Source organism: Homo sapiens, chromosome 11, assembly GCF_000001405.40.
Source record: "Homo sapiens chromosome 11, GRCh38.p14 Primary Assembly".
Lineage (NCBI taxonomy): Eukaryota > Metazoa > Chordata > Mammalia > Primates > Hominidae > Homo > Homo sapiens.
In genome coordinates this window covers 78061709-78080370 of record NC_000011.10, presented here as the reverse complement: position 1 = coordinate 78080370, position 18662 = coordinate 78061709, and the positions used below count along the sequence as shown (strand labels likewise).

The window sequence follows — 18662 nt, the reverse complement described above, 5'->3', positions numbered from 1 at the left end:
GTGCTGCCTCCGAATCTGAATTTCAACAATAGACTAAAACGATCCAGTCCTGGGCTTCTCTAAATTCTTTTGTTGCTGGCCAGACCTTAATTTTAGGCTTTGGAGGGAGTGTCTATGCGAATGAACGACTGAAAACTCAGAAAACGAAAACTAGCTTTTATGGAATTTCAATTAATTACGTTTATCAAAACTACGCATCATGCCCATTTGTGGGTATTGGATGAAAAGATAAATCTTTCCAGAAGGGGCAGGGGAGGGAGAGGCAATTCTGGTTGGGGAAGTTGGGAGAAAAGAAAATCAGTATCTCCTAGTCTTCGCCCAGTTTGGCTCGTTTGGGGTACTCCTCGACCCCGCGTTACCAGGCCCGTGAATCCCACTCCCACCAGAGAATTAGCGCGGGCGGACGAGCAAAGTGAAACTTAGTAGCCCGGAACTTCGCGTGCCGGGTTCCCGCAGCAACACGTACCGGGAAGCGTTTGGGCGCTGCACCGCGCTGCGCCGTGCCCGTGAGTCCGGCGCGCAGAGGAGGAGGAGAAAGCTGACCGCTTAGGCCGGGGTAGTGGTCGTCGTGGTTTTCCTTGTAGTTCGTGGTCTGAGACCAGGCCTCAAGTGGAAACGGCGTCACCATGATCGCACGGCGGAACCCAGAACCCTTACGGTTTCTGCCGGATGAGGCCCGGAGCCTGCCCCCGCCCAAGCTGACCGACCCGCGGCTCCTCTACATCGGCTTCTTGGGCTACTGCTCCGGCCTGATTGATAACCTAATCCGGCGGAGGCCGATCGCGACGGCTGGTGAGTGCTGCGCGGCCGGGATCGGCTGGGAGGAGAAGGGGTCGTAGGGCTGCAGACTGGCCCGGCCGTAGGCCCCCCTGAGGTGCTCTGCTTTTCCGTGCCTTTTTGCCTAGCTGGCCCCATCTCGCCTTTCCGGGGAGTCCGCGCCCCATTAGCTCTTTAGAATCAAGCAGAGCCAGAGTGTCATTTGGCACTTGAAGAAACTGAGGTGCAGTGAAGCAGGAACTGAGTCTGTGAAGGACCCGAAACTACTCTCCTCAGTTCGTGTTGTGCTGTGTGCGCAAATGAGCCATGACTCCATGCCATGCACTACTCACACTGTGGGCATTATTGATAGCATTTCGGCCTTAAAACACTTTTAGGGATGTATTATTCACAACGAGGAAACCGAGCCTAACAGATTAACAGCAGCTTGCCCAAGGTCATATGGCTATTAAGTAGCAGAGCTTGGTTTTTTTTTTTTTTGACCTCTGAATGGATATTGGACACCAGTGCTTCTCAAACTTAATGTGCATACGAATAGCATAGGTGTCTTGTTAAAATTCGGATTCTGGGCTGCGCGAGGTGGCTCACACCTGTAATCCCAGCGCCTTGGGAGGCCGTGGCGGGCGGATCGCCTGAGCTCAGGAATTCGATACCAGTATGGGCAATAGGGCGAAAACCCGTCCCTACAAAAAAATACAAAAGTTAGCCGGGCGTGGTGGTGCACGCCTGTGGTCCCAGGCTGAGGGAGGCTGAGGCAGGAGGGTCGTTTGAGCCTGGAAGGCAGAGGTTGCAGTAAGCCGAGATTGCACCATTGCACTCCAACCTGTGCAACAAAGTGAGACCCTGTCTCAAAAAAAAAAAAAAAGCGGATCCTGATTCATGAGGTCTGGGGAGGAACTTGATGTTAACAACAAGCGCTCAAACACTGCTGCTGCTGGTCTGAGGACCACGGTTTGAATAGGAGGCTCTAAACCAGTGTGCTGTACTTCCCAGTAGTATGTCACTGGCTTCCTATCAGAGACACTGACTATTCTGATAATAACCACCACAGTAGCTTTGCTAAGCTCTATGGATTTCCAGAGGGAAAAGAGGAGAGGAACTTTGGAAGAGGGGTCTTTGAAGTTAACTTTGATTATCAGGCAGGACTGAGAGACAGACAGCTTTCTAGGCCCGTGGGGCTAGTGGGAGCTAATGGGGGCAAGGACCTCTGAATGGAGGGTGTTTGATGATTGAGTGAGTGTTCAGGTTTAGATAAAACTGCAAGGGAGATTTTAGCAGAGCATGGCAATTTATTTTCTAGGCAGTCAGGAACTTTGTAAGCTTTTGAGAGCTGCAAGGGTGCAGTGATGAGCTCTGTATTTTAAAAAGTCATCTTTGTCAGCAATGTGAGGCGTTGATTGGAGCCAAGAAGCACAATCAGGAAAAAAGCTCAGGCAATGGTTCAGGCAATTAGGAGTCACCACACTTGTACCTCTTTTGCCTTCTTACAGCTGTATGTCATGCCTGAAGGTCAGCTCCCAACCCATCAAATCCCACATTTCCAGTGCTCAAATAGTATTGAAGTCCTATCTCCCTTGGACATAACTCCTCACTTCAGAAAGGAGTCATCTTTGTCCGTTTATGCCTCTGAGGACTCGAGGTTTTCCCTTTTCATCACCACTTCATATTTGCCCAAGACTGTCACTTGGTGTAATGAAAAGAGCTCCACTTTGGAACTAAACAAACTTGCTCACTAGGCACAGGCACTGTGGTTCACACCTGTAATCCCAGCACTTTGGGAGACCAAGGCAGGAACATCTCTTGAGGCCAGGAGTTCAAGACCAGCCTGGGCAACATAGTGAGACCCTGTCTCTACAAAAAAATTTAAAAAATTAGCCAGGCATGGTGATGTGCACTTGTAGTCCCAGGTACTCAGGAAGCTAAGGGAGGAGAATCACTTGAGCCCAGGAGGTTGAGGCTGCAGCGAGCCACGATTGCACCACTGCACTCCAGCCTGGGCAACAAAGTTGAGACCTTGTCTCCAATAAATAAATAAATAAACAGACTTGCTCTGCTGCTTTCCAGCTGTGTCACTTTGGGCAAGTTACATGGTCAGGTCGATCAGAGCCAAAGTTTCCTCATCTATAAAATAAGAATAATTAATTTTTGCATATTTGTTGTGAGAATTGAGTGAGATTCTGTAGGTAAAATGTCTGACATGCAAAAGGTGCTGGACAGAGTTCCCCTTCCTTAGCTCTTGTTATGCAAACAGTTTACCATATATTTGTAAATTGTTCATTTACAGAACCCTTTTTTTTTTTTTGAGACAGGGTCTCACTCTGTCACCCAGGCTAGAGGGCAGTGGTGCACTCATGGCTCACTGCAGCCTCGACCTCCTGGGCTCAGGCGATCCTCCTATCCTAGCCTTCCAAGTAGCTGGGACTACAGGTACATACCACCAGGCCTGGCCAATTTTAAAATTTTTTGTAGAGATGGGGTCTTGCCATCTTGGCCAGGCTGGTCTCAAACTTCTGGCCTCAAGTGATCCTGCCACCTCGGCCTCCCAGAGTGCTGGGGTTATAGGTGTGAGCCACTGTGCCTGGCCTTACTTAACTGTTTCTCTGTTATGTGCCCTATGGAGCTCCTAGTGAAATCAGGGAGACAAACAGGTAAACAGCCTGTTGCTGATCTTGGTATGATAGATACATGTTTTGATAGAGGTGGGTGAGCAGAAAGCACTTTAGGAGCACAAAGGAGATACAGTTGGGAGGGAGAATGCTCTAGAGGAAGTAAAGGTTGGCTGAAATGTGACGTATGTACCACTTAATCTCGTTGTTAGTTTAGCCGTTTGTGCCTTTCTGGGAGACAGAAGAGTATAGCAGTTAAGAGCATATGCTTTGGGGTTTGACATCACCTCCACCCTACTAGTAATTTGATTCTGAGGAAGTTACCTATCTCTGAGGACTGGATGAGATAATGAATATAAACTGCTTAGCCCAGGAGTAGGGATCAGACTTCCTGAGTTCCCAGAGCTTCCCTAAATTGCTTTGGAAGATTTAGGTCCTAGGACTTTGTTGAAATGGTTGTCCTCAACAGCATTTACTGAATGCATATTGTGTTTATCTAGCTCAGTGTCTAATATCTATAGTAGGTGTTCAGTAAGTATTGAGTGAGGTCACGTGTGGTGGCTCATGCCTGTAATCCCAACATTTTGGGAGGCTGAGGCGGGTGGATCACCTGAAGTCAAGAGTTCAAGACCAGCCTGACCAACATGGTGAAACCCTGTCTTTACTAAAAATACAAAAATTAGCCAGGCGTGATGGCACATGCCTGTAATCCCAGCTACTCGGGAGGCAGAGGCTGGAGAATTGCTTGAACCTGGGAGGTGGAGATTTCAGTGAGCCGAGATTGTGCCATTGCACTCCAGCCTGGGCGACAGACTGAGACTCTGTCTTTAAAAAAAAAAAAAAGTAGTATTGAGTGAATAAGTATATGTAGATTACAAGGAATATAAAACATGGTCCCAATCCTCCAAAGGTTTACAGACCAGATGGCCATATCCATTAAAAAGACAAATTGTGGTACAAGATTGTGCATATAGAGTGAAGGTGTGTGTCACATAAATGATGTTTCTAAGACAGTTGGAGGAGTGGTGGAAGAGATATGGTAGATTTTCAAACTACAGCCCTGGCGAGTACCTGGCATTCTGTGAGTAATGGGATATTCTGGCCGGACACCGTGGCTCACACCTGTAATCCCAACACTTTGGAAGGCTGAGGTGGGAGGATTGCTTGAGCCCAGGTTTCAAGACCAGCCTGGGAAACACAGGGAAACTTTGTCTCTACAAAAGAAATTTTTTTAAGCTATCTGGACGTGGTGGCATGCACCTGTGATCCCAGCTACTTGGGAGACTGAAGTAAGAGGATCACTTGAGCCTGGGTGGTTGAGGCTGCAGTGAGTGTGATCATGCCTCTGTATTCTAGCCTAAGTGACAGAGCAAGATTCTGTCTCATAATAATGAATATGTCTCATAATAATGAATTTCTATCAATGAAATAAAATTGTGTAGCTCTTTTTCAAATTAGCAGGAAATGTTAAAATAATTCCTTAAGAATAAGACTTTAAAAATAAGTTGTACGTATTTTGGGGGTACATGTGGTATTTTGATACATGCATACAATGTGTAATGTTGAAACTGGGGCAAATGGGACATCCATCACCCCAAACATTCACCCCTTCTTTATGTTGGGAACATTCAAATTCCTCTCCTTCAGCAATTTTGAACTATACAACAAATTATTATTAACTGTAGTCACCCTACTGTACTATCAATAAATAGAATTTTTTTATAAGTTTTTCTCTCATCATCTGTTTTTTAAAACTTAACCTTCTTGCTGGTTACCACTTAATGTGCCCGAAATTTAGAGTTAGTTGGTATGCTAAGTATAGCCCACAAAATTAAATATTTATTGATCTCTAGTTTATCAGTAATTTATGATGTTCTTCAAAGAGCACAATAGCTGCCGGGGTTAGACTCACTGAGTAAACAATGGGAAAATGATTGTAGATGGGGTGTGCAGGTAGTGAGAGGTCGACCACTAAGAGAGAATGAGGAGAGAGGTTAGGAAAATGGGGCCTTGGCAAGAGGCCAAGCCATGCCTTTAGGGCTAGGATGCTGACATCATCATCTCGAACGCTTATGGAGTCTTTCTGTGAGGAACATGGGTCAGCGTAGAGAGAGTCTGGTTCTGTGTGTCTCTGCAGTCCAGTGGCACATGGGAGAACATGCACTCTTTGGTTTGCTATATGGCGGGTAGCCCATTATGGAAAGCAGTGGCTGTTTGGGGTAAGAGAGAGTGCTCTGTCCAGTTCTAGAACATAGGAATATTTTTCATTTTTATTGTTTTATACATTTTCGGAAATACTTTTATATGCATATGTCTTGTTTTATATGCTACTACTGTGAGAAAGATAGGATAGGTCTTTTTTTGTTTTTTTTTTTGAGACAGAGTCTCATTCTGTCGCCCAGGCTAGAGTTCAGTGGTGTGATCTTGGCTCACTGCAATCTCCACCTCCTGGCTTCAAGCGATTCTCCAGCCTCAGCCTCCTGAGTAGCTGGGACTACAGGTGCGTGCTACCACGCCCGGCTAATTTTTGTATTTTTAGTAGAGACGGAGTTTCACCATGTTGGCCAGGCTGGTCTTGAACTCCTGACCTCAGGTGATCCACCCACCTCGGCCTCCCAAAGTGCTGGGATTACAGTTGTGAGCCACCACGCCCAGCCAGGATAGGTCTTGTCTATGTTTTAGAGGTAGTAAATTGAATTGCCCAAGGCTGTTCATTCATTTATTAAATAAATATTAAGTGCTATATGCTAAAATATACATTGCATGTAATATTTTAGATTTGTTAACCTTTAAAGAAGTGATAATGTGGGCCGAGTGTGGTGGCTCATTCCTGTAATCCTAACACTTTGGGAGGCTGAGGCAGGGGGATCGCTTGAGCCCAGGAGTTCAAGACCAGTCTGGGAAACATAGCAAGACCCCTCTTAAAAAAAAAAGAAAGAAAGAAAGAAAGAAAAAAGGCATGGTGGTGCACGCTTTTGGTCCCAGCTACTTGGGAAGCTGAGGTGAGAGGATTGCTTGAGCCTAGGAGGTTGAGGCTGCAGTGAGCTGTGATTGTGCCACTGCACGCCAGCCTGGGCGACAGAGCTAGACCCTGTCTCAAAAAAAAAAAAGAATATGTAGGGTGTCTCAAAGTCAGGGATCAAGGCGGTTTGTTCAGAATAGCTTTTTTTTTTTTTTTTTTTTTTTGAGACAGAGCCTCACTCCGTCCCCCAGGCTGGAGTGCAACGGCGCGATCTCGGCTCACTGCAACCTCTGCCTCCCGGGTTCTAACAATTCTCCTGCCTCAGCCACCCAAGTAGTTGGGATTACAGGTGCCCACCACCACATCTGGCTGATTTTTGTATTTTTAGTAGAGACAGGGTTTCACCATGTGAACTGGTCTTGTACTCCTGACCTCAGGTGATCCACCTGCCTCAGCCTCCCAAAGTGCTGGTATTACAGGCGTGAGCCACTGAGCCCAGTGCTTTTTTTATTTTTATTTTTTTAAGAAATGCCATAACAGGCCAGGCGCTTTGTCACCCAGGCTGGAGTGCAATGGCGCAATATCAGCTTACTGCAACCTCTGCCTCCCAGGTTCCAATGATTCGCCTGCCTCAGCCTCCCAAGTAGCTGAGACTACAGGCACCCGCCACCACCCCCAGCCAAATTTTGTATTTTTAGTAGAGACAGGGTTTCACCATGTTGGCCAGGCTGGTCTCGAACTCCTGACCTCAGGTGATCCACCTGTCTTGGCCTCCCAAAGTGCTGGGATTACAGGTGTGAGCCACTGCGTCCAGCCAAAAATGTAACTCTTAATACACATGGACTAATTTTTGCTTTCTTTGGGATTTGTCATTTGAATTTCAGGTTTGCATCGCCAGCTTCTATATATTACGGCCTTTTTTTTTGCTGGATATTATCTTGTAAAACGTGAAGACTACCTGTATGCTGTGAGGGACCGTGAAATGTTTGGATATATGAAATTACATCCAGAGGATTTTCCTGAAGAAGGTATTTCAAGTTAATTTTAGATAATCTGTGTTTACTGTATTATTATTTTCCCTGGTTAATCTTATCCATGTGTATGGCTTTAGATACCTTCTAAATTCTGTTGACTCCCACATCTTAGTCTATAGACCAAAATTCTCTTGAATTAATATATCCAGTTTCTGACTACCTCCGTGTCCTTTGGACAGCAAACAAAACTCATATCCCCTCTGCCTTCCCAAACCTCCTGCTCCTCTGTGTCCTGCTTCAGAGAATGGCACTACTGTCCACCTGGACACTCAAGCCAGAAGCCTGAGAATCATCAAGTCTTTCTCTTTCACTTCCCATTAGTCATCAGGTCTTATCAGTTCTACTTCCTAAATATTTCTTAACTTTGAACTCTCCTCTCCCACTACCACTACCCTGGTTCAGGCCTTGTTAATCTCTTGCTTGGACTGTTGCACTTGCCTCTTAACTCACCACTTGCTTTGGTCTTATTTCCAATGACAGCAAATCTGATCACATCTGTTTAAAATAGTCATCCGGCTGGTCGCAGTGGCTCACGCCTGTAATCCCAGCACTTTGGGGGGCCGAGCGGGGCAGATCACCTGAGGTCAGGAGTTTGAGACCAGCCTGGCCAACATGGCGAAACCCTGTCTCTATTAGAAATACAAAAATTAGCCGGGCATGATGGCGGGTGCCTGTAAGCCCAGCTACTTGGGAGGCTGAGGCAGGAGAATCGCTTGAACCTGGGAGGCGGAGGTTGCAGTGAGCTGAGATCGCGCCATTGCACTCCAGCCTGGGTGTCACAGCAAGACTGTGTCTCAAAAAATAAAATAAAATTAAAATAAAATAAATAAGTCATCCATTGCCTAGTGGATAAAATCCAGACTCCTTAGGATGGCTCATTTACTCCAGGTTAGCTAATTGCCTGTCCTCTGGTAGAAACACTTTACCCACATTCTTATCTACCATATGATATACACATGTGTGTGTTCTTCATGGATTGTAGCTTCGTCTTTGTTTCCCCAGCCTCTTGTATAGAGCCTACACATAGCAGGCACTTACTTATGCATAATAGTGGATATGAACCGTATGGAATACTTCCTCATTCCTCATCACTCATCATTTGCCTGGTGAAATGCTTTGTCCCGAACCTGCCCTATATTACTTTATACATGTTGTACCTTCTTCCTGCTATGTTATTCTTCCTCTTGCCCCTGTTTCCACCCCATCCACCTAGCAAATTTCTGCTTTTATTATCTCAGTGAAGCTTTCACCCAGCTACAGTCAGGCATTCCCTCAGGGTGCTCTATCTCTAGTCTGCTATGAATCTATTAATAGTTGTAATATAACTTTTCTCACCTGTGTTTTACACACATATACACAACACAGATGTGCACATATATGAGTATCTGTAGGCTGGGAGTTTAACTACTACGACAGTTTTTTTTGGTTTCCCCAGGGGTTTGGCACACATAGCCTTATTAAATGTGTAAATGAATGAGTATAGAAAAAATTTGAACTTGTAAACATAAATAGATTTTCCCCAGTCTCGGCAACATAGTGAGACCTCATCTCTACAGAAAATTAAAAAATTAGCTGGGTGAGGTGGCACATGCCTATAGACCCATTGACTTGGGAGGCTGAGGCAGGAGGATTACTTGAGCCTGGGAGGACAAGGTGCCGTGAGCCGTGATCACACCACTGCATTCCAGCCTAGGTGACAGAGCGAGACCCTGTCTCAAAAAAAAAAAAAAAAAAAAATTCTTCTGTTAATGTAAATGCGTGATATAAAACATTTAAATTTCATTACACTGAATGATCTCTAAGGTCTTATTTAGCTCTAAAATTTTATTACTCTTTAATATTCCCACAGCCTTCAGTCACATATATGATATTTATGGTGGATCAGAAAGATACAGTTTCTTTTTTTGCCAAAGAAGAGCTTAAAGACTAGCACAAAGCCATGAATAGTGGATGTATCGGGAATGCATAATACCCAGAACCGTTAAATGTTAGAGCTGGAAGTCATCTTGGATATATTGATTACTAGGAGTGAGGCCCAGTGGCTTGAGGAGTCTTCAGTCTCAGACCTCTGGCTCTTTGCCTAGACATAGTTCCATGAGTTCCCTGTGTCTGCAGGAGTGTGTATAGCTTCAGGGCTCATTCTCTTTCTGAGCTGCAGATTAGTGGCAGTTGTGCCAAGAGCCTCATGCACAGACAGTGGGAGCCCGGAGAGCTTGACCACATTGGCTGTTGGCCTCTCCTAGCTGACCTGTGCCCCTCTGTGTTTATTTCTTCCTTCACCTCTTCAGTCAGGATACTCCTGGCAGCACCTTGTCCCTCTTGGCAGTCATTTGGTTGTCATCACAGATTCCTCCAAAGTTATTCTTCAGTCAATGAAAGAAAATCCTTCAGTGATTACCAAGCCATAGTCAAGGACAAGAAAATAAGGAAATTCTTAGGGGTTTGTCTTAGTCCGTTTGGCCTACTATAACAAAATGCCTTAAACTGGGTAATTAAAAAAAATTTTTTAACTTTGTTTTTCTTACCACCTGTATAATTGCAGAATAGACTGGGTAATATATAAGTAATAGAAATTTATTGCTTGCAATTCTGGAGGCTGGGAAGTCCAAGATCAGGGTACCAGCACAGTTGGTGTCTGCTGAGGGCCCACTCTGCTTCATAGATGATGCCATCTTGCTGTGTCCTCACATGGTAGAAGAGGCAAACAAGGTCCCCTAAGCCGATCCCCCTCATGAGGACAGAGCCTTTGTGACCTAATCACCTCCCAAAGTCCTAACCTCTTAATATCGTTATCTTGGGGGTTACATTTCAATTTATGAACTTTGGGGGGACATGAACATTCAGACCACAGCAGGATTTCAATCATAAGATTAGTGAGTGTTAATTTTCGTTTAGGAAATACAATTTTTAAAACATATTTTTAAAATAAATCTTTTATGATCTTTCCTTTTATAGATAAGAAAACATATGGTGAAATTTTTGAAAAATTCCATCCAATACGTTGAAGTCTTCAAAATGCTTGCTCCAGTTTCACTGATACCTGCTGTTTCTGAATTTGATGGAACATGTTTCTTATGACAGTTGAAGCTTATGCTAATCTGTATGTTGACACCTTGTAATTAAAATACGTACCATGAGTACTCTGACTCTTTATTGTTGTAAGAAAAATAGTTCATCATCAGAGAATGGTCAGTTTCCATTCACCCATCTGAAAGATTTTAAGATGAGGTTGAATTCTAGTTTAGAGTTAGCAGACTACCCAAATCTGGCCCACTGCCAATAAAGTCTCATTGGAACACAGCCATGCTCATTTGTTTACATGTTGTTTATGGCGACTGCCATGCTGCAAGAGCAGAATTGAGTAGTTGTGATAGAGACCTATGGCCTGCAAAGCCTAATTAATATGTAGCCCTTTCAGAAAAGGTTTGCCTGCCCCTGTCCTAGTGCAAAGTGAATTTAGAGTGAGCCAGATTATGGAGGATTCTGTGACTCTTGCCAAATAATTTTGACTTCATCCTGTAGGTATTAAGTCATTAAGGCGTTTTAAATCATACAGTCAGGTTTGTATTTCTGAGCTGTCTATAATGAATGATATAGAAGGTGGTTTCGAAGGAGGAGACTCCAGACAAGGAAAACAGAAATCTTATGTTGCCAAGTTGTCTTTGCTCTTAGGTGGGTTATCCTGGAGAAAATGGACTCAGGAGCTAATACTGTCTACAGTGGAGCTTGGTGCAATTAGAAGCAAAAGACTGTACCTAACTGGAATGAGGTTACTTTTTATGGCTTATCAAATGCTTGTCCTGGCCCGATGCAGTGGCTCATGCCTGTAATCCCAGCACTTTGAGAGGCTGAGGCAGGGCAGATTGCATGAGCCCAGGAGTTCGAGACCAACTTGGGCAACATGGTGAAACACTGTCTCTACATAAAATACAAAAATTAGCTGGGCGTGGTGGCACGTTCCTGCAATCCCAGCTACTCATAAGGCTGAGGTGGGAGGATCTATTGAGCCCTGGAATTCGAGGATGCAATTAATTGTGGTTGTGTCACAGTTCACTGCAGCCTGGGTGACACTCCAGCCTGGGTGACAAAGGAGACCCCGTCAAAAAAAAAAGTACTTGTCCCAAAAGTTTTTGTTTCCTAGCTTAGAATTTATAATCAGATTAGGTTTTGGAGATAAAGTATATGTGGTATTTTTTTTTTTTTTTTTGAGACGACAGTCTTGCTCTGTCATCAGGCTGGAGTGCAGTGGCGCAATTTCGGCTCACTGCAACCTCCACCTCCTGGGTTCAAGCAATTCTCCTGCCTCAGCCTCCCGAGTAGCTGGGACTACAGGTGCATGCCACGACGCCCAGCTGATTTTTGTGTTTTTAGTAGAGACGGGGTTTCACCATGTTGGCCAAGATGGTCTCAATCTCTTGACCTTGTGATCCACCTGCCTTGGCCTTCCAAAGTGTTGGAATTACAGGCGTGAGCCACCGCGCCTGGTCTATATGTGATTTCAAATTAGGTGGCCTTATAAATATAAGCAGATGGTTTCTGGGCAAAATCAAATGATTTCTGTCTCTATTTTCTTGAGTACCAATTGTAAAAACTGAAATTAGGTTGAGGAAAGTGCTTTAGAAATAATAAAGATGTACAAATACAAGGCTTTGGATTTTTTATTAGTTCTGCAATAAATAATAGGTTTATAGTTCACCTGTTGTTGATCTCATCAGTGGTCGCCAAGTAAGAGGGTGAATCACTCATCCCAAGAGACTCTGCTACCTCTTAGCTCTGGAGGGTAAAAAGCAAGGGCCAGAGCAAATACATTGGGGAGAGGGGGAGAAAAAAAAAATCAGGCTATTTTAATAGCCCTCACATGCCAAGTGCTTTTGATTCATCATGTTTAGTTTTCATAAGCTTGTGAGGTAGATAATATTATCCCCATTTTATAGATGAGGGAATTTAGGCTCCAATGGGTTAAATAACTTGTACAAGTACACATACTGAATGACTGCCATGAGGAGGGATGTGAATTTTGGTCACGTGCCAACACCTACACTCTTCCTACCATACCACACTGGACAGGTAATTGTCTAGTCCCTCCTGAACCACTGGTCACCTCCCCAAGCTGTTAAGAGGAGCGAGGGGAGCAGTGAATAGCAACAGACATTCTAAAGGTGAGCCAGTGACTGGAATCCAGGAATTGGTGCTCAGGAGGTAGAGAAGCATCCCGGAGAACTGAGCCGCCTTCACTTCTGGCTGCAGGTCTAGGCCTTTCTGCTCTCATCATTGGCTAGTGAACTGCTCCGCCGACCTCATCAAAGAGTCTGTCTTCTATCATGTGAAGGGATCTGTGGAGTGAAGAAATTTTTAAAAGGCCAAGTCAGTATCAATTCAAACAACCAAGATACTGTCACATGCCCATTGAAGCAGGAAGAACAATGCTGATGTTGCTGTTGGAAAACTGGCAGTGCCTCAGCACTGTAAGGAGAATCCTAGGTTGTCAGAGCTGGAATAACTCATTTGATTTCTCTGCTATATTTTACTAACAGGGAAACAGATACAGAAAGGTAAGATAAGTTGTCTAGGGCCGGGCGTGGTGGCTCACGCCTGTAATCCCAGCACTTTGGGAGGCCAAGGTGGGTGGATCATTTGAGGTCAGGAGTTCGAGATCAGCCTGGCCAACATGGTGAAACCCTGTCTCTACTAAAAGTACAAAAATTAGCCAGGCATGGTGGCGTGAGCCTGTAATCCCAGCTACTCGGGAGGCTGAGGCAGGAGACTTGCTTGAATCTGGGAGGCAGAGGTTGTAGTGAGCCAAGGTGGCGCCACTGCACTCCAGCCTGGGTGACAAGAGCAAGACTCCATCTCAAAAAAAAAAAAAAGGTTGGGTGCGGTGGCTCACGCCTGTAATCCCAGCACTTTGGGAAGCCGAGCGGGGAGGATCACAAGGTCAGGAGATTGAGACCATCTTGGCCAACATGGTGAAACCCCATCTCTACTAAAAATACAAAAAATTAGCTGGGTGTAGTGGCGTGCACCTGTAGTCCCAACTACTCGGGTGGCTGAGGCAGGAGAATTGCTTGAATCGGGAGGTGGAGGTTGCAGTGAGCTGAGATCGCGCCACTGCACTCCAGCCTGGCAATAGGGTGAGACTCCATCTCAAAAAAAAAGTTGTCTAGGATAATACAGAAGTCAATGGAAGAGCCAGAACAAGAGCCCAGATTTTTAACTGTTGCTATACCATATTGCCTCTGAATGAAAATCAGGTTAGGGTGTGTTGAAACGTTATGGCGTAGAGTTGCTGCTCTGGCCTTTGAAGCAACTGAGTGAGTCAGAGTGTGGTTTCTACCCACTCTGCCATGCCCAGTTCCCACTTTGAGCCCACTCTGCAAAAGTCTAAGGCTCTAAGGAATACCACTGTAGAGGAAAAGAATTAGACTAATTAGGCCAGGGTTCACATCTTGGCTGTTATTTACTGAGTAAACTTGGACTCATTTTACTTCTCAGGCCTCCAGTTTTCTCATCTGCAAAAGGGAATGATAGGCTGGGCGCGGTGGCTCATGCCTGTAATCCCAGCACTTCGGGAGGCCGAGGCAGGTGGATCACGAGGTCAGGAGTTCAAGACCAGCCTGGCCAACATGGTGAAACCCGGTCTCTACTAAAGATTTTAAAAAAATTAGCTGGGTGTGGTGGCACACGCCTGTAATCCCAGCTACTTTGGAAGCTGAGGAAAATCTCTTGAACCTGGGAGGTGGAGGTGGCAGTGAGCTGAGATTGCACATTGCACTCCAACCTGGGGGACAGGGTGAGACTCCGTCTCAAAATTTAAAAAGGTGGGGGGGGATGATAATTCCATTAGATAATGGATATGCAAAGTGATCTTAAAACTATTCAAATGCCAGTTGTTAGTTTTACAACCACTGTTATTATTCAGTGAAGAAGCTGAAACCCAGAGAAATGAATTAGCTTGCCCAAGGCCCCACAGCTCATTAGTGATAGAATCAGAACGTGAACCCAGAGCTGTTGACACAGCCCCATCTAATTCAAGAAGAACCTCTGTGAGGCAACTCAGGGAGCCTCAACGGGAGAGGGAAGAAGGGTTGAGGTTGACAGTTTGGGTTTGAAGCGGGAGAAGGAAAAATGGCTGAGAAAATGCCTGGAGCAGAGCTCTCCATAGGCTCTGTGTTTGGGGGTCCCATGTTTATTCCGCATAATTACAGAGCAGCCTTCACACAGATTATGAAGATAACACAAAATGGCAGACAGTGGGTACGATGGAAAGAACACTCAGCTCAAAGTTGAGGCCAGTCTTACTTTTGTCTCCTTACTGTGTGACTTTGGGTGAGTCACTTCACCTCTCTGGCTTCAATTTCCATACTAGTAAACTGGGGATGAGAATCTTTTCCTACATAGCTGCATCAGGTGGTTTTGAGATTGCAATGGACGTGGATGTTGTTTACAACTAATGAGACCAGTTTGTGGGAGCAGGGCTGGCAGGTGGCACAGAATCAAAACTGGCAGGTGCTGTGGTCCAATTTCTATTAATACTAGTCTTTATCCATGAGTGAACTAGTGGTGACCATGCTAGGGCCCCTTCCCACCTCCTACCCTCTGCCACCACCTGCTTGTCTAGCTTGCTGCTCATCCACACTCACCACCCCAGCCCCTCTGTGCATAGACATGTAGGCTTAGACTGGAACACATATTCATATGTACATACAACAGGGCTTCCCAACAGGCATGTCTGCATACTCCAGTTTGCCTGGAATGGATTAGAGTGCCATGACTGGTCCCTCGGCTTCCCGTTTGGTGGGTTCCAACCTGGGATGGTCAGAGTACCCCCAGCCTGTTGTAGCAGTACTGCAAGCAGCCTCACCTATGTATCCCCATGTGCCATATAATAATTTTCCATGTTCTGTGACTTGAAAAAATGTTGGGAAACACTGTCACACAAATGGAATTCACAATGTTCACTTAAATCAATGTGCATGCCTTAGGTAAGTTTTTTTTTTTTTTTTGAGATGGAGTCTCCCTCTGTCACCTAGGCTGGAGTGCAGTGGCACAATCTCAGCTCACTGCAACCTCTGCCTCCCAGGTTCATGCCATTCTCCTGCCTCAGCCTCCCGAGTAGCTGGGACTACAGGCACCCACCACCACGCCCAGCTAATTTTTTGTATTTTTAGTAGAGATTGGGTTTCACCATGTTAGCCAGGATGGTCTCAATCTCCTGGCCTCATGATCCGCCCGCCTCGGCCTCCCAAAGTGCTTTGGTGTGAGCCACCGCGCCTGGCCCCTCTTCAATTAAATTCTTAACAAAGTCACTGATGAGAACACACTCATTCAATTCACACATTTACAAGCATTCACATACTAATAAATGCACACATGCACAAACACATATATGTGCATATGAGATATGCCCTCACAGGCCACTTTTCCCTCTGTTTCCATATCACTTCATTGCAATTGCCAATTTGAGGTCAGAAGGATAGTAACACAGGCCTAGTCTTAGGCCCTCCTAGGTTGTGGTCCCAATACCCTGACCCAAGAGTGGCTCTGTCTGAAAGTCAGGCTGTTCCTCTCCCAGTGGGTTGCACCACTGCCCCCTCTCCTCTCCTGGAATGTCCCTTTGTAGACTCACACCCACCAGCATGGCCACCATTACCTTCCCTAGTGTCCAAGGTCTACCAAACTTGTCCCGTCATTTCCTGGTATTTCCTTGTCACCTCCTGGGCTTTCTCGGTGAGGTGCATGAGGATGTGATGGAGGCTGGAGAAGTGCAGGTGGAACTGGGCTTCCAGGTCCAGCTCTCCTGAGGCACTCTCGTCCTCGACTTCCTCTGTCTCTGCGGTTCCATTCTCTTCGCTGCCTGCCACCTTGGCCTGCCACTCCTCCCGCGGCAGCAGCCCATGGTCCACATCCACACAGATGGCCTTGAGCATGGTGAAGTAGGTGTAGAGATCAGGGGCCTCAGCCTGGGCCTGGCCCCCAGGCCCACTCAGCTGCACGTCCCGCAGAAGGCTGGGGATCATCACCACCTGCTCCATGTTGTGCACCTCGGCTGCATACCGGTCCATGACGGTCAGCAGGCAGTTCTTGGGGTAACGCTTGGTTAGCACCTGCATGGTTGCTTCCTCTGACACAATGAGACCAGCAGACTGCCCCCGCACTATTTCTAGGCTCTCGGCAGATTGACAGGATGCCAATGCCCAGCTGTTGGGTCAACACAGCCCTGTTTTGGGCCAATCCCAGGGCTCAGGCCCCAGCATCTGTATCAGGTGATCCATCTGCCCAGAGACAGATCTGCCAGCCTTCTACTTGTCATCCCAGCTCTGCATGACTGCCCCAGCAAGAACCCGACTCTTCCTCTGTCAGCTTGCTGAGCCAGTTGGAAGGAAGCTTTTCCCTTTGGCAACTGGTATACTGGACTTCAGGGCAATAAATAATTCTTTCAGGTCACTGGAGACCAAGCTGTCTCTTTGCTGCCTGCTTAGGGCAGCCCTCCAAAGCACAGTTCACTCCTTCAACCTGGGGTGACTCCATTGTGAAATGGAGAGGATTTGAAGTGAAACAGCTTGATGTGGGGCAAGGAACACTGAGGTTGGAGTCAGAAGCCCAGTACTGCAATTTCCTAGCTGAGTTTTTTTTTGTTTGTTTTTTGCTGGCTAACATTTATTGAGCACCTACTGCACATCAGGGTCTGCTGAGCTTTTTCGTGAGTGATCTCATTTAATCTTCACCACAACCCTTGTAAATGTTTTATTTATTTAATTTTTGTAGAGATGGTCTTGCTATGTTGCCCAGTCTGGTTTTGAACTTCTGGACTCAAGCAATCCTCCCACCTCAGCCTCCCAAAGTGCTGGAATTGCAGGTGTGAACCACCAGTATTCCTGTTTTGCCAGTGAGGAAATTTAGGTGCAGACAGCTAAAGTAACTTGCTCAAGGTCCCACTGGGGCTGGGATTCCAGCCCAGGACCACCTCTACCCACCTCCAGGCAGTGCTGTGGACTGACATGAGGTTACATAGTCATACAAGTTAACCAGATCCATATCCTCTGTAAATTTGAGGTGGTGTGAGGATTGAATAAGACAAACTAATAAAAATGCTTTGTATCAGTCCAGACAAGCGGCTGGGATCAAAAGAGGAAAAAAAATGCTTTGTAAACCACAAAGCCCAATCCTCAGATGTATTATCTATGCAGATTCTAGATTATTGCTAAGGCTTCTCCCAAATCTAACCAGTCATTCCATAAGCTACAATGCTTCCACTTTATTACTGACCTTTCCTTGGACCAGCAGTCTTGGAAGATAATAATCTTTTGCGTGGTCATATTGTCATAGTTTACAAACTGCATTTGCTATATATTTTTTATTAGATATTTAAGAAAATGGCCGGGCGCAGTGGCTCACGCCTGTAATCCCAGCACTTTGGGAAGCCCAGGCGGGTGGATCACGAGGTCAGGAGATCGAGACCATCTTGGCTAACGTGGTGAAACCCTGTCTCTACTAAAAATACAAAAAATAAGCCGGGCGTGGTGGTGGGCGCCTGCAGTCCCGGCTACTCGGGAGGCTGAGGCAGTAGAATGGCGTGAACTCAGAAGGTGGAGCTTGCAGTGAGCCGAGATGATGCTGCACCACTGCACTCCAGCCTGGGCAACATAGCGAGACTCCGCCTCAAAAAAAAAAAAAGAAAAAGAAAAGAAAAGAAAATGAAGGCCTGGGGAAAGGCCCAAAGTTGCACAACAAGTTAGTGGCAGAGTCAAGTGGAGAATAAGACATTCTGAATTCTGGCTCAGGTACCTGCCTCCTCCACTGCCTCTGGTGAAATCTGCTGAATGATGATACCTCCCACGCCTGCAGGAGAGGAGAGAGGAGGAGGGAGCACAGGGAGGGGACGTGGGGCTGAACAGGGCCTCTGTGTTGTCTCACCTAAGCCACCCTCACCTCCACCCTAGGGCAGGAGCCCACTCTGCACCCTCCCAACTGACAATCATTCACTCCTCTGCTCCCTCCCACTACAGCCAGAGCTATGAAAAAGCTTATCTTTAGACTGAACAAAATTCCGCCTCCCAGCCCGGCATGGTGGCTCATGCCTGTAATCCCAGTACTTTGGAAGGCTGAGGCAGGAGGATCATTTGAACCCAGTAGTTTGAGACCAGCATGGGCAACATATGAGACCCTATCTCTACAAAAAATTAATTTTAAAAAATCAGCTGGGTGTGATGGCACATATCTGAGGTCTCAGCTACTCAAGTGGCTGAGGTGGGAGGATTGCTTGAGCCCGGGAGGTCAAGGCTG

At 46.1% G+C, this 18662-nt stretch overlaps 3 protein-coding genes across 7 annotated transcripts in view, besides 2 other annotated features; 2 read left to right on the top strand and 1 right to left on the bottom strand.

Annotated features, from left to right (window-relative positions):
* Positions 337-526: a silencer, noted in NCBI's record as "fragment chr11:77790891-77791080 (GRCh37/hg19 assembly coordinates)". NCBI's record gives its function as "represses an EF-1alpha promoter that drives an FKBP-Casp9 reporter gene in an ReSE screen in both phorbol 12-myristate 13-acetate-treated (for megakaryocytic differentiation) and untreated K562 erythroleukemia cells {active_cell/tissue: K562 | K562(+PMA)}" and the evidence as "EXISTENCE:reporter gene assay evidence [ECO:0000049][PMID:32094911]".
* NDUFC2 (NADH:ubiquinone oxidoreductase subunit C2) lies at positions 509-12074 on the top strand. 3 transcript variants are annotated; one of them, NM_001204055.2, is made up of 3 exons: positions 509-792; positions 7299-7373; positions 10335-12074. In NM_001204055.2, the coding sequence occupies exons 1-3, from the start codon at positions 627-629 to the stop codon at positions 10382-10384; spliced, it is 291 nt and encodes a 96-aa protein (NP_001190984.1). In that variant the 5' UTR covers positions 509-626; the 3' UTR covers positions 10385-12074. The 3 variants fall into 3 exon arrangements, with proteins under 3 accessions (NP_001190984.1, NP_001190983.1, NP_004540.1); NM_001204054.3 differs by lacking the exon at positions 7299-7373 and adding an exon at positions 7230-7292 and having other exon boundaries at positions 10461-12074; NM_004549.6 differs by having other exon boundaries at positions 7230-7373.
* The window catches only part of NDUFC2-KCTD14 (NDUFC2-KCTD14 readthrough), a 64148-nt gene continuing 45994 nt past the window's right edge, over positions 509-18662 (top strand). For 2 of the 3 annotated variants that reach the window (NM_001203261.2, NM_001203260.2), the window contains exons 1-2: positions 509-792; positions 7230-7373. In NM_001203261.2, coding sequence (NP_001190190.1) covers positions 627-792; positions 7230-7373 — 310 coding nt within the window. In that variant the 5' untranslated portion in view covers positions 509-626. The remainder of the gene's footprint in view (positions 793-7229; positions 7374-18662) is intronic. The other variant, NM_001203262.2, reaches the window with a different exon arrangement.
* Positions 730-789: an enhancer, noted in NCBI's record as "active region_5313". NCBI's record gives its function as "activates an Ori minimal core promoter by ATAC-STARR-seq in GM12878 lymphoblastoid cells {active_cell/tissue: GM12878}" and the evidence as "EXISTENCE:reporter gene assay evidence [ECO:0000049][PMID:35858748]".
* THRSP (thyroid hormone responsive) lies at positions 12020-16510 on the bottom strand. Its single transcript, NM_003251.4, has 2 exons — positions 16030-16510; positions 12020-12712 (listed from the first exon to the last, which is right to left on the bottom strand). Exon 1 carries the CDS (start codon positions 16487-16489, stop codon positions 16049-16051), a length of 441 nt encoding a protein of 146 aa, NP_003242.1. The 5' UTR covers positions 16490-16510; the 3' UTR covers positions 12020-12712; positions 16030-16048.